General features: G+C 42.0%; 3 annotated features.

The window, feature by feature from the left end:
* Positions 637-1,252: an enhancer, noted in NCBI's record as "NANOG-H3K27ac-H3K4me1 hESC enhancer chr2:31719565-31720180 (GRCh37/hg19 assembly coordinates)". NCBI's record gives its function as "activates a minimal SCP1, AML or CMV promoter by ChIP-STARR-seq in naive H9 embryonic stem cells {active_cell/tissue: H9 hESC(naive)}" and the evidence as "EXISTENCE:reporter gene assay evidence [ECO:0000049][PMID:30033119]".
* Positions 1,253-1,869: an enhancer, noted in NCBI's record as "NANOG-H3K27ac-H3K4me1 hESC enhancer chr2:31718948-31719564 (GRCh37/hg19 assembly coordinates)". NCBI's record gives its function as "activates a minimal SCP1, AML or CMV promoter by ChIP-STARR-seq in naive and primed H9 embryonic stem cells {active_cell/tissue: H9 hESC(naive and primed)}" and the evidence as "EXISTENCE:reporter gene assay evidence [ECO:0000049][PMID:30033119]".
* Positions 8,130-8,631: an enhancer, noted in NCBI's record as "NANOG hESC enhancer chr2:31712186-31712687 (GRCh37/hg19 assembly coordinates)". NCBI's record gives its function as "activates a minimal SCP1, AML or CMV promoter by ChIP-STARR-seq in primed H9 embryonic stem cells {active_cell/tissue: H9 hESC(primed)}" and the evidence as "EXISTENCE:reporter gene assay evidence [ECO:0000049][PMID:30033119]".

Below are 14,058 nucleotides of genomic sequence, written 5' to 3'. Positions count from 1 at the left end.
TGTGGCATTCTCTGTATTTCCTGAATCTGAATGTTGGCCTGCCTTGCTAGGTTGGGGAAGTTCTCCTGGATAACATCCTGCAGAGTGTTTTCCAACTTGGTTCCATTCTCCCTGTCACTTTCAGGTACATCAATCGGAGGTAGATTTGGTCTTTTCACATAGTCCCATATTTCTTGGAGGCTTTGTTCATTTCTTTTTATTCTTTTTTCTCTAAACTTCCCTTCTTGCTTCATTTCATTCATTTCATCTTCCATTACTGATACCCTTTCTTCCAGTTGATCGCATCGGCTCCTGAGGCTTCTGCATTCTTCATGTAGTTCTCGAGCCTTGGCTTTCAGCTCCATCAGCTCCTTTAAGCACTTCTCTATATTGGTTATTCTAGTTATACATTTGTCTAAATTTTTTTCCAAGTTTTCAACTTCTTGGCCTTTGGTTTCAATTTCCTCCTGTAGCTTGGAGTAGTTTGATCGTCTGAAACCTTCTTCTCTCAACTCGTCAAAGTCATTCTCCGTCCAGCTTTGTTCCATTGCTGGTGAGGAACTGCGTTCCTTTGGAGGAGGAGAGGTGCTCTGCTTTTTAGAGTTTCCAGTTTTTCTGCTCTGTTTTTTCCTCATTTTTGTGGTTTTATCTACTTTTGGTCTTTGATGATGGTGATGTACAGATGGGTTTTTGGTGTGGATGTCCTTTCTGTTTGTTAGTTTTCCTTCTAACAGACAGGACCCTCAGCTGCAGGTCTGTTGGAGTTTGCTAGAGGTCCACTCCAGGCCCTGTTTGCCTGGGTATCAGCAGCGTGTCTGCAGAACAGTGGATTTTCGTGAACTGCGAATGCTGCTGTCTGATCGTTCCTCTGGAAGTTTTGTCTCAGAGGAGGACCTGGCCGTGTGAGGTGTCAGTCTGCCCCTACCGGGGGGTGCCTCCCAGTTAGGCTGCTCGGGGGTCAGGGGTCAGGGACCCACTTGAGGAGGCAGTCTGCCCCTTCTCAGATCTCCAGCTGCATGCTGGGAGAACCACTGCTCTCTTCAAAGCTGTCAGACAGGGACATTTAAGTCTGCAGAGGTTACTGCTGTCTTTTTGTTTGTCTGTGCCCTGCCCCTAGAGGTGGAGCCTATGGAGGCAGGCAGGCCTCCTTGAGCTGTGGTGGGCTCCACCCAGTTCCAGCTTCCCAGCTGCTTTGATTACCTAAGCAAGCCTGGGCAATGGCGGGTGCCCCTCCCCCAGCCTCGCTGCGCCTTGCAGTTTGATCTCAGACTGCTGTGCTAGCAATCAGCGAGACTCCGTGGGCGTAGGACCCTCCGAGCCAGGTGCCGGGTATAATCTCCTGGTGCGCCATTTCCTAAGCCCGTCGGAAAAGCACAGTATGCGGGTGGGAGTGACGCGACTTTCCAGGTGCTGTCTGTCACCCCTTGCCTCGCCCTGCTTCGGCTCGCACACGGTGCGCTCCACCCACTGTCTTGCGCCCACTGTCTGGCACTCCCTAGTGAGATGAACCCGGTACCTCAGATGGAAATGCAGAAATCACCTGTCTTTTGCGTCGCTCATGCTGGGAGCTGTAGACCGGAGCTGTTCCTATTCAGCCATCTTGGCTCCTCCAGGTATGTCTTTATCAGCAATGTGAAAACAGACTAATAAATCAGATATAGAATATTTTCATCACTCTCTTACCCCTTACCAGTCAGTAATGACCCCATACTCATCTCAACTTCAATCAATCATTGATGTTTTTGTCACTCTTGATTAGTTTGTCTTTTCTGAAATTTCATATGAATAGGATTATGCAATATAAACTTTATTTTTCACTTAGGAAATAGCATAATGTTTTTGAGTTATGGCTATGCTGTTTTGTGTATTAATAGAGTTTTTTTACATGAGTAGTATTTCAATGACAAATTAGGATACCACAATCTGTTGTTCATTCACTTGTTGATGGGTGTTTGAATTGTTTCCACATTTTGTCTGCTACAAATAAAGTTGCTACTGATATTTATGTAGAAACCCTGTGTAAACACAGAAAAGAGGAAATAATTAAGTAATGAATTATGAAAATAAACAAAACTTAGACTTAACAATACTAAAAATCAGTTATTTGAAGAGACAAACTAGACAAACCTCAAGCAAGACTGACCATGGGGGAAGTAAAAAAATACGTATATATATATTTTTTTTATTATTTATACTTTAAGTTCCAGGGTACTTGTGCACAACTTGCAGGTTTGTTACATAGGTATACATGTGCCATGTTGGTTTGCTACACCCATCAACTCGTCATTTACATTAGCTATTTCTCCTAATGCTATCCCTCCCCCTGCTCCCCACCCCGACAGGCCCCAGGGTGTGATGTTCCCTGTCCTGTGTCCATGTGTTCTTATTGTTTAACTCCAACCTATGAGTGAGAACATGCGGTGTTTGGGTTTCTGTTCTTGTGTTAGTTTGCTGAGAATGATGGTTTCCAGCTTCATCCATGTGTCTGCAAAGGACATGAACTCATCCTTTTTTATGGCTGCATAGTATTCCATGGTGTATATGTGCCACATTGTCTTAATCCAGTCTATCATTGATGGACATTTGGATTGGTTCCAAGACTTTGCTATTGTGGATAGTGCCACAATAAACATACGTGTGCATGTGTCTTTATAGTAGCATGATTTATAATCCTTTGGGTATATACCCAGTAATGGGATTGCTGGGTCAAATGGTATTTCTATTTCTAGATCCTTGAGGAATTGCCACACTGTCTTCCACAATGGTTGAACTAATTTCCACTCCCACCAACAGTGTAAAAGCATTCTTATTACTCCACATCCTCTCCAGCACCTGTCGTTTCCTGACTTTTTAATGATCGCCATTCTAACTGGTGTGAGATGGTATCTCATTGTGGTTTTGATTTACATTTCTCTGGTGGCCAGTGATGGTGAGCATTTTTTCATGTGTCTGTTGGCTGCATAAATGTCTTCTTTTGAGAAGTGTCTGTTCATATCCTTTGCCCACTTTTTGATGGGGTTGTTTGATTTTTTCTTGTAAATTTGTTTAAGTTCTTTGTAGATTCTGGATATTAGCCCTTTGTCAGATGGGTAGATTGCAACAATTTTCTCCCATTCTGTACGTTGCCTGTTCACTCTGATGATAGTTTCTTTTGCTGTGTAGAAGCTCTTTAGTTTAATTAGATCCCCTTTGTCTATTTTAGCTTTTGTTGCCATTGCTTTTGGTGTTTTAGTCATGAAGCCTTTGCCCATGCCTATGTCCTGAATGATATTGCCTAGGTTTTCTTCTAGGGTTTTTATGGTCTTAGGTCTTACATTTAAGTCTTTAACCAATCTTGAGTTAACTTTTGTATATGGTGTAAGGAAGGGATGCAGTTTCAGCTTTCTCATATTGCTAGCCAGTTTCCCAGCACCATTTATTAAATAGGGAATCCTTTCCACATTGCTAGCCAGTTTCCCAGCACCATTTGTTAAATAGGGGAATCCTTTCCCCATTTCTTGTTTTTGTCAGGTTTGTCAAAGATCAGATGGTTGTAGATGTGTGGTATTATTTCTGAGGTCTCTGTTCTGTTCCGTTGGTCTATATCTCTGTTTTGGTACCAGTACCATGCTGTTTTGGTTATTGTAGTCTTGTAGTACAGTTTGAAGTCACATAGCGTGATGCCTCCAGCTTTGTTCTTTTTGCTTAGGGTTGTCTTGGCTACACAGGCTGTTTTTTGGTTCCATATGAACTTTAAAGTAGTTTTTTCCAAATCTGTGAAGGAAGTCAGTGGCAGCTTGATACAGAGAGCATTGAATCTATAACTTACCTTGGGCAGTATGGCCATTTTCATGATATTGATTCTTCCTACCCATGAACATGGAATGTTCTTTCATTTGTTTGTGTCCTCTATTATTTCGTTGAGCAGTGGTTTGTAGTTCTCCTTGAAGAGGTCCTTCACATCCCTTGTAAGTTGGATTCCTAGGTATTTTATTCTCTTGGAAGCAATTGTGAATGGGAGTTCACTCATGATTTGGCTCTCTGTTTGTCTGTTATTGGTGTATAGGAATGCTTGTGATTTTTGCAAGTTGATTTTGTATCTTGAGACTTTGCTGAAGTTGCTTATTAGCTTAAGGAGATTTTGGGCTGAGATGATGGGGTTTTCTAAATATACAATCATGTCATCTGCAAACAGAGACTATTTGATTTCCTCTTTTCCTAAGTGAATACCCTTTATTTCTTTCTCTTGTCTGATTGCCCTGGCCTGAACCTCCAACACTATGTGGAATAGGAGTGGTGAGAGAGGGCATCCTTTTCTTGTTTGAGATACGTTCCAACAATACCTAGTTTATTAAGAGTTTTTGGCATGAAGCGCTGTTGAATTTTGTCAAAGGCCTTTTCTGCATCTGTTGAGATAATCATGTGGTTTTTGTCATTGGTTCTGTTTATGTGATGGATTATGTTTATTGATTTGCATATGTTGAACCAGCCTTGCATCCCAGGGATGAAGCTGACTTGATTGTGGTGGATAAGCTGTTTGATATGCTTCTGGATTCGGTTTGCCAGTATTATATTGAGGATTTTTGCATCGATATTCATCAGGGATATTGGCCTAAAATTCTCTTTTTTGTGTGTGTGTCTCTGCCAGGCTTTGGTATCAGGATGATGCCAGCCTCATAAAATGAGTCAGGGAGGATTCCCTGTTTTTCTATTGGTTGGAATAGTTTCTGAAGGAATGGTACCAGCTCCTCTTTGTACCTCTGGTAGAATTTGGCTGTGAATCCGTCTGGTCCTAGACTTTTTTTGGTTGGTAGGCTCTTAATTATTGCCTCAATTTCAGAACCTGTTATTGGTCTATTAGGAGATTCAACTTCTTCCTGGTTTAGTCTTGGGAGGGAGTATGCGTCCAGGAATTTATTGATTTCTTCTAGATTTTCTAGTTTATTTGCATAGAGTTGTTTATAGTATTCTCTGATAGTAGTTTTATTTCTGTGGGATTGGTGGTGATATCCCCTTTATCATTTTTTATTGCATCTATTTGATTCTTCTCTCTTCTCTTCTTTATTAGTCTTGTTAGTGATCTATCTATTTTGTTGATCTTTTAGAAAAAACAGCTCCTGGATTCATTGATTTATTATTATTATTATACTTTAAGTTCTAGAGTACATGTACACAATGTGCAGGTTTGTTATGTATGTATACATGTGTCATGTTGGTGTGCTGCACACATTAACTCATCATTTACATTAGGTATATCTTCTAATGCTATTCCTCCCTGCTCCCTCCACACCATGACAGGCCCCAGTATGTGATGTCCCCCATCCTGTGTCCAAGTGCTCTCTTTGTTCAATTCCTACTATGAGGGGGAACATGTGGTGTTTGGTTTTCTGTCCTTGTGATAGTTTGCTCAGAATGATGGTTTCCAGCTTCACCCATGTCCCCACAAAGGACATGAACTCATCCTTTTTTATGGCCGCATAGTATTTCATGGTGTATATGTGCCACATTTTTTTAATCCAGTCTATCATTGATGGACATTTGGGTTGGTTCCAAGTCTTTGCTATTGTGAATAGTGCCAGAATAAACATACATGTGACAGTGTGGTGATTCCTCCAGGATCTAGAACTAGAAATACCATTTGACCCAGCCTTCCCATTACTGGGTATATACCCAAAGGATTATAAATCCTGGTGCTATAAAGATTCATTGATTTTTTAAAGGGTTTTTCAAGTCTCTATCTCCTTCAGTTCTGTTCTGATCTTAGTTATTTCTTGCCTTCTGCTAGCTTTTGAATTTGTTTGCTCTTGCTTCTCTAGTTCTTTTAATTGTGATGTTAGGGTGTCAATTTTAGATCTTCCTACTTTCTCTTGTGGGCATTTAGTGCTATAAATTTCCCTCTACACTCTGCTTTAAATGTGTCCCAGAGATTCTGGTCCATTGTGTCTTTGCTCTCATTGGTTTCAAAGGACATCTTTATTCTGCCTTCATTTCGTTATGTACCCAGTAGTCATTCAGGAGCAGGTTGTTCAGTTTCCATGTAGTTGTGGGGTTTTAAGTGAGTTTCTTAATCCTGAGTTCTAATTTGATTGCACTGTGGTCTGAGAGACAGTTTGTTGTGATTTCTGTTCTTTTACATTTGTTTAGAAGTGTTTTACTTCCAATTATGTGGTCAATTTTAGAATAAGTGCAATGTGGTGCTGAGAAAAATGTATATTCTGTTGATTTGGGATGGAGAGTTCTGTAGATGTCTATCAGGTCTGCTTGATACAGAGCTGAGTTCAAGTCCTGGATATCCTTGTTGACCTTCTGTCTCGTTGATTTGTCTAATATTGACAGTGTGGTGTTAAAGTCTCCCATTATTATTGTGTGGGAGTCTAAGTCTCTTTGTAGGTCTCTAAGGACTTGCTTTATGAATCTGGGTGCTCCTATATTGGGTGCATATATATTTAGGATAGTTAGCTCTTCTTGTTGAATTGATCCCTTTACCATTATGTAGTGACCTTCTTTGTCTCTTTTGATCTTTGTTGGTTTGAAGTCTGTTTTATCAGAGACTAGGATTGCAACCCCTACTTTTTTTTTTGCTTTCCATTTGCTTGGTAGATCTTCCTCCATCCCTTTATTTTGAGCCTGTGTGTGTCTTTGCATGTGAGATGGGTCTCCTGAATACAGCACATCGATGGTTCTTGACTCCTTATCCAATTTGCCAGTCTGTGTCTTTTAATTGGAGCATTTAGCCCATTTATATTTAAGGTTAATATTTTTATGTTTGAATTTGATCCTGTCATTATGATGTTAGCTGGTTATTTTGCCTGTTAATTGATGCAGTTTCTTCATAGCGTTGATGGTCTTTACAATTTAGCATGTTTTTGAAGTGGCTGGTACCGGTTGCTCCTTTCCATGTTTAGTGCCTCCTTCAGGAGCTCTTGTAAGGCAGGCCTGGTGGTGACAAAATGTCTCAGCATTTGCTTGTCTGTAAAGGATTTTTATTTCTCCTTCACTTATGAAGCTTAGTTTGGCTGGATATGAGATTCTGGGTTGAAAATTCTTTTCTTTAAGAATGTTGAATATTGGCCCCCACTCTCTTCTGGCTTGTAGGGTTTCTGCTGAGGGATCCGCTGTTAGTCTGATGGGCTTCCCTTTGTGGGTAACCTGAGCTTTCTCTCTGGCTGCCCTTAACACTTTTTTCCCTTCATTTCAACCTTGGTGAATCTAACAATTATATGTCTTGGGGTTGCTCTTCTCGAGGAGTATCTTTGTGGTGTTCTATGTATTTCCTGAATTTGAATGTTGGTCTGCCTTGCTATGTTAGGGAAGTTCTCCTGGATAATATCCTGAAGAGTGTTTTCTAACTTGGTTCCATTCTCCTCATCACTTTCCAGTACACCAATCAAACATATATTTGGTCTTTTCACATAGTCCCATATTTCTTGGAGGCTTTGTTCATTTCTTTTACTCTTTTTTTTTTCTATTCTTGTTTTCTCACTTTATTTCATTAATTTGATCTTCAATCACTGATATCCTTTCTTCCACTTGATCAAATCGGCTATTGAAGCTTGTGTATGTGTTACGAAGTCCTTGTGCTGTGGTTTTCAGCTCCATCAGGTAATTTAAGGTCTTCTCTACACTGTTTATTCTAGTTAGCCATTTGTCTAACCTTTTGTCAAGGTTTTTAGCTTCCTTGCGATGGGTTAGAATATGCTCCTTTATCTCGGAGAAGTTTGTTATTACTGACCTTCTGAAACCTACTTCTGTCAACTTGTCAAACTCAATCTCCATTCAGTTTTGTTCCCTTGCTGGTAAGGAGCTGCGATCCTTTGTAGGAGAAGAGACTCTCTGGTTTTTGGAATTTTCAGCTTTTCTGCTCTGGTTTCTCCCCATCTTTGTGGTTTTATCTACCTTTGGTCTTTGATATTGGTGACCTACAGATGGGGTTTTGCTGTGGATGTCCTTTCTGTTGATGTTGATGCTATTCCTTTCTGTTTGTTAGTTTTCCTTCTAACAGTCAGGCCCCTCTGCTGCAGGTCTGTTGGAGTTTGCTGGAGGTCCACTCTAGAACCTGTTTGCCTAGGTATCACCAGTGGAGGCTGCAGAAAAGCAAATATTGCTGCTTGATCCTTCCTCTGGAAGCTTCATCCCAGAGGGCCACCCATCTGTTTGAGGTGTCTGTTGGCCCCTACTGGGAAGTATCTCCCAGGCAGGCTACATGGGGGTCATGGTCCAGCTTGAGGAGCCAATCTGACTGTTCTCAGAGCTTGAATGCCATGCTGAGAGAACCACTGCTGTCTTCAGAGCTGTCACACAGGGATGTTTAAGTCTGCAGAAGCTGTCTGCTGCCTTTTGTTCTGCTATGCCCTGCCCCCGGAGGTGGAATCTAGAGAGGCAGTAGGCCTTGCTGTGCTGCAGTGAGCTCCTCCCAGTTTCAGCTTCCAGGATGCTTTGTTTACACTGTGAGCTACTCAAGCCTCAGCAATGGCTGATGCCCCTCCCCCTGCCAAGCTGCAGCATCACAGGTTGATCTCAGACTACTGTATTAGCAGTAAGCAAGCTCTGTGGGTGTGGGACCTGCCCGGCCAGGCATGGGAGGGTATCTCCTGGTCTGCCGGTTGCTAAGACTGTGGGAATAGCACAGTATTTGGTCAGGAGTGTATTGTTTCTCCAGTTATAGTCTGTCCCAGCTTCCCTTGGCTAGGAAGGGGAAATCCCTCCACCCCTTGTGCTTCCTGGGTGAGGAGATGCCCCCCCTGCTTCAGCTTGCCCTCCATGGGCTGCACCCAGTGTCCAACCAGTCTGAGTGAGATGAACCAGGTACCTTAGTTGGAAATGCAGAAATCACCCATCTTCTGTGTTGATCTCACTGGGAGCTGCAGACTGGAGCTGTTCCTATTCGGCCATCTTGCAAAAATATGTATATTTTTTAACAATAAAGGAGACATAGTTACAAATAAAAAAGTAATATGACAAATAACAAAACTTTTATGCCAATAAATATGAAAAATTTTAAATAAAAAATCAAAATTGTCTCAAAAAGAAAGATTTAAAAATGAATAATAGGGGCCAAGTGTGGTGGCTCGCACCTGTAATCCCAGCACTTTGGGAGGCCAGCGTGGGCAGATCATGAGGTCAGGAGTTCGAGATCAGCCTGGCCAATATGGTGAAACCCTGTCTCTACTAAAAATACAAAAATTAGCCAGACATGATGGCAAGCAGGTGTAGTTGCAGCTAGTTGGGAGGCTGAGGCAGAAAAATCGTTTGAATCTGGGAGGCGGAGGTTGCAGTGAGCTGAGATCGTGCCACTGCACTCCAGCCTGGGCAACAGAGCGAGACTACGTCTCAAAAAAAAAAAATGAATAATAGGTCGGGAGCGATGGCTCATGCTTGTAATCCTAGCACTTTGGGAGGCCAAGGTGGGTGGATCACTTGAGGTCAGGAGTTTGAAACCAGCCTGGCCAGCGTTGTGAAACCCCATCTCTACTAAAAATACAAACAAATTAGTCAGGCATGGTGATGTGCACCTGTAATCCCAGCTACTTGGAGGCTGAGGCAGGAGAATTGCTTGAACTCAGGAGGCAGAGGTTGCAGTGAGCTGAGATAGTGCCACTGCACTCCAGCCTGGACAACAAAGCAAGACTCTGTCTCAATAAATAAATAAATAAATAAAAATAAAAATGAAAAAAAATAAAAATGGTGTGGAGTAGGTATAAATGATGAAACTGAGGCCCAGAATGATTAATATAGTTACATTGTTTATAATGGCCAAAGCTGAAACACTAACAATGACCATTATTTAAATTAATTGCTAGTTAAAATCTCCACACCCAAAAGATATCCTACCCAGAATGATTTACAGGCAAGTTTTACTGAACTTCCAAGGGACAGATGATTTCTATCTTATGTACATTTTTTTAAATGAAATGCTACATGGCTTATTTTATGAGGCTGGAATAACCTTGATATTAAAATAGTAAATAGTCAACTTATAGGTATAGACAAAAATCTCAAGATGTTTGCGTACCATATATGCGTAATACTATATACAGTCAAAATCTATTAATGTAATCCTTTACATTAACAGATTAATAGAAATGCTATATGATGGTGTTAAAACATATGTAAAAAGCATTTGAAAATTTTTAATACAGATTAGTGACTAAAAAGAAGCTCTTACTAAACTAGGAATGAAAGGAATTCTCTTAACTTGATGAATAATGTCCTTTAAATACTACATCATGCACCATATTTAATAGCTAAAACTCAGAAGTAAGAAAAGTGTGCTTGTCTTTACAATTTAGTATAGTATTAGTCATAGTAAATTAAGGAGGACAAGAAAATATAAGGTACAGGAACTGAAATAAAAAATACAAAAAGATCTTTATTTTTAGGTGTATTATTGTATACATAGAAAATTCAAAAATATTGAAAGCAAATAAGTGGAAATAAAAAAAGAATCCAGCAAATTTGTTGGTGAAAAGATTTACATACAAAAATTAATAGCCTTTTCTTACACTAGCAGTAATCAACGTGTAGTAGAATGACATGCCATTCACAGTAGCAAGAAAACTGAAAAGATATTTAGGAATAAATTTTATTAAAGATGAAAAATGTACAAGCCCTTTATAGAGAACATTACTAAACATATTGAGGGCCAAATTATTCCTGAATAAATGGAGAGACATACTGTGTTTTTAGATGATAAGACTCAATAATACAAATATGTCAAGTCTGTACATATCCCTTCATAAATTCAGTGCATTTCTGAGAAAAACCCCAGCAGGATATTTCGTGTGACTTTATGAGATGATCCTAAAATTCATATGAAACAAAAAAGGTGAATAAGAGCAAAGATAATTGTGAAGAGTCTAGAGGTATTTTCTAAGCAAAAATACAACTTATTTTGAAGGTATAGATCTTAAGATAAACATACTATTTACTTAGAGAGAAATAATTATGTTGCTGGAACAGAATACAGACACTGAAACAAATAACAAATTCATGATGATGATGAGGAACTCATTTCAAAATGGCAGCTCTTATAAGACATGGGAGAAAAATAGGTACTACAATATATTTTTCTGGGACAACTGACTAATTGTCCATTTGGGAAAAAGCTAGAATAGTAACACTTCCCACAAAAAAGTAAGTTACAGATAGATTAAATTCCTAAATGTGTGAAAGGTGATTTGTAGAAGAAACTATAGAATATAGTCTGCCAGTTGTGCTGGTGCACACCTATAATCCCAGTTACCTGGGAGGTGGAGGCAGTACGATCACTTGAGCACAGCAGTTTGAGACCTGCTTGGACAGCATAGTGAGACTCTGTCTCAAAAATAAAAGAATATATTTATGACTTTGAGATATGAAAGAAGAAGATGGCTTGCTAGGAGCAGCTAGTGTGTGGGCTCTCATGGAGAAGAACGGAAGGGGTGAGGAAATACAGCAACCTCAACTAAAATATCCAGGTACAGGCATTGGAACTAATCAAGGAAACAAGTTCACCCAAGGAGAAGGAAGAAAAGCAAGGCAGGATGATGGCCCACCGGGAGCAGCGTGGAGCCAGGGCAACCTCCCCTACCTAGGGAAGTGGTGAGTGAATGTGCGACCCTGGGAACCCACACTTCTCCCATGGATTTTTGCAATCCTCGGTTCACGAGATCCCCTCGTGAACCCACTCCACCAGGGCCTTCAGTCCCACACATGTAGCTACATGGAGTCTCTGCAGAGCAGCTGCTCAGCCTTAGAGACCTAGGAGCCTTAGAGACCTGGGAGCCTTAGAGACCTGGGCTTTATGGGTTTCCCTGCAAAAACAGATGCACTCTTGCAAAGTGAGTGGTTAGACTCCTTATGTACCCCTAGGAAAGGGGCTGAATCCAGGGGGCTGAGCAGTGACAGTCTGCAGGCCCCACTTCCACGGCACCTCACAGGATTAAGACCCACTGGCTTGTAATTCCTGTCAGCCAGGAGTAACAGTGTTGCACCTCTCTGAGACAGCGCTCTCAGTGGGAGGGGCAGGAGGCCATCTTTGCTGTTTAGGCAACTGAGCTATTCCAGCCTTCAGGCTTTGGAGAGTCCAAGGTGAGCAGGGGGCGGAAGCGGGTACCTCAGCACAGTGCAACTGCTATACGAAAACGGGTCAGACTGCTTAGTTTAAACGGGTCCTCGATCTCCTTCCTTCTCACTAGGCAGAACCTCCCACTGGGGCCTCCAGCCATCCCTGCCGGTGTTTTTTGGCCAACAGAGATTCAGAACCTTCCTGGGACAGTGCTCTCAGAAGGAGGGACAGGCCACCATCCTTGCTGTTTGGGCGACTTAGCCATCCAGACTTCAGGCCTCAGAGAGTCCAAGGCAACTGCAGGCAGAAGCAGTCCCTTCGCACAGCACAGTTGCTCTATGAAAATGTGGCCAGACTTTTTAAAGCAGGCCCCCAATCCCATTCCTCCTCACTGGGCAGGAACTCCCAGCCAGGGTCTCCAGCTACCTCCTACGCCTGTGTTTGAGATGGTAAAAGGTCCATATCTCCCTGGGAGGGAGATCCCAGACGGAGAGGCAGGCTGCTATTTTTACTGCTTTGCAGCCTTCACTGTTGTTACCTTCAGGTACTGGAAAGTCCAAGGTGACTAGGGACTGGAGCAGGGCCCCAGCATATTGCAGAAGTTCTATGGAAAAGTGGCCAGGCTGTTACATGGGTGCCCATTCCCATATCTCCTCACCAAGCAGGTCCTCCAGGCCTGGGCCTCTAGCCACCTCTAACCAGAGCTATTGAGCCAGTAGCAGCTTGGAAACTCCCTGGACACAGCCCCCAGGGGGCATCTGAAAGTCTCTTTGCCACTGCCTCTGCAGTGTAGCTGCCTTGCTACCCTCAGACTAACGAAGAAGCAAATACCTTAAGTGCCTTATCCACACCTCCAACAAACTGCAGTCAACCCAAGGAGAGGAGGCAAGTCCATGCCCCATGGGTCTCACCCCTACTGCTTGTCTCCAGACAGGGAACTCTTAGCTTGGGCCCACAGCACAGACCCTCCATCCTGGCTGATTGCACTGAGCAATTGCTGAACTGCATTTCCTTGGGGTGGAGCCCCCAGGAGACAAGCAAATGACCCTTGGCCACAACCATTACTAAGGTCGCTTCCTCTGCTGCCTACAAGTTAGGGAAGGAACATGAACACTGAGTTTGTTCCAGAGTGGCTGTGGGCAGCCCAGGAGCACCAAGCTGCAATCTACAGCCAGCACTCAAGGGGGAGAGGAAACCACACTTTCAGAGCATTGAGAGGAAACATGGCTGCAACTGTGAGAAAACACGGGTGGAAGGATGGGCACACAACCAAGCAAGAGTCCACCAACTGACTAATACACCTAAGTGCCACCTACTGGATCACATCCCAAAGCTTCAACACCAAAAATACCTTGCTACCATACCCTGCGGTTTCATGTCTAAAACCGAAGACAGAAAGTCAGCTTCAAATAAAGATCCTGCACAAAGCCTTGGCCCTGAGAAAATAACCAGAAAACAAGTCTATTGACTGTACTCAGTCTACGTGCAGTTAAAAAACCATCCACACAGAGAGATGAGAAAGAACCAATGCAAGTACTCTGGTAACTCAAATGGCCAGAGTGTCATACATCTTCCAAATGATTGCACCAGTTTTTCAATAAGAGTTCTTACCCAGGCTGAACTGGCTGAAATGACAGAAATAGAATTCAGAATATGGATAGGAGTGAAGATCATCAAGATTCAGGAAGATGGCAAAACCCAATTCAAAGAAACTAAGAATTGCAATAGAACAATACAGGAGCTGAAGGACAAAATAGCCGATATAAAAAAGACCCTAATTAATCTGACAGAGCTGAATAACACAAGAATTTTTCAATGCAATCACAAGTACTAACAGTAGAATAAACCAAGTTGAGGAAAGAATCTCAGAACTTGAAGACTGGCTTACTGAAATAAGACAGCCACACAAATATAAAGAAAAAGGATTAAAAAGGAATGAACAAAACCTCTGAGAAGTATGGATTAGGTAAACAGGCCAAATCTATGAATCACTGGCAACCTTGAAAGGGTGAGGGGAGAAAGAAAACAACTTGAAAAACATATTTCAGGATACC

The sequence above is a fragment of the Homo sapiens genome, chromosome 2, assembly GCF_000001405.40.
Source record: "Homo sapiens chromosome 2, GRCh38.p14 Primary Assembly".
In the NCBI taxonomy this organism is placed as follows: Eukaryota; Metazoa; Chordata; class Mammalia; order Primates; family Hominidae; genus Homo; species Homo sapiens.
This window is presented reverse-complemented; position numbering and strand designations above follow the sequence as displayed.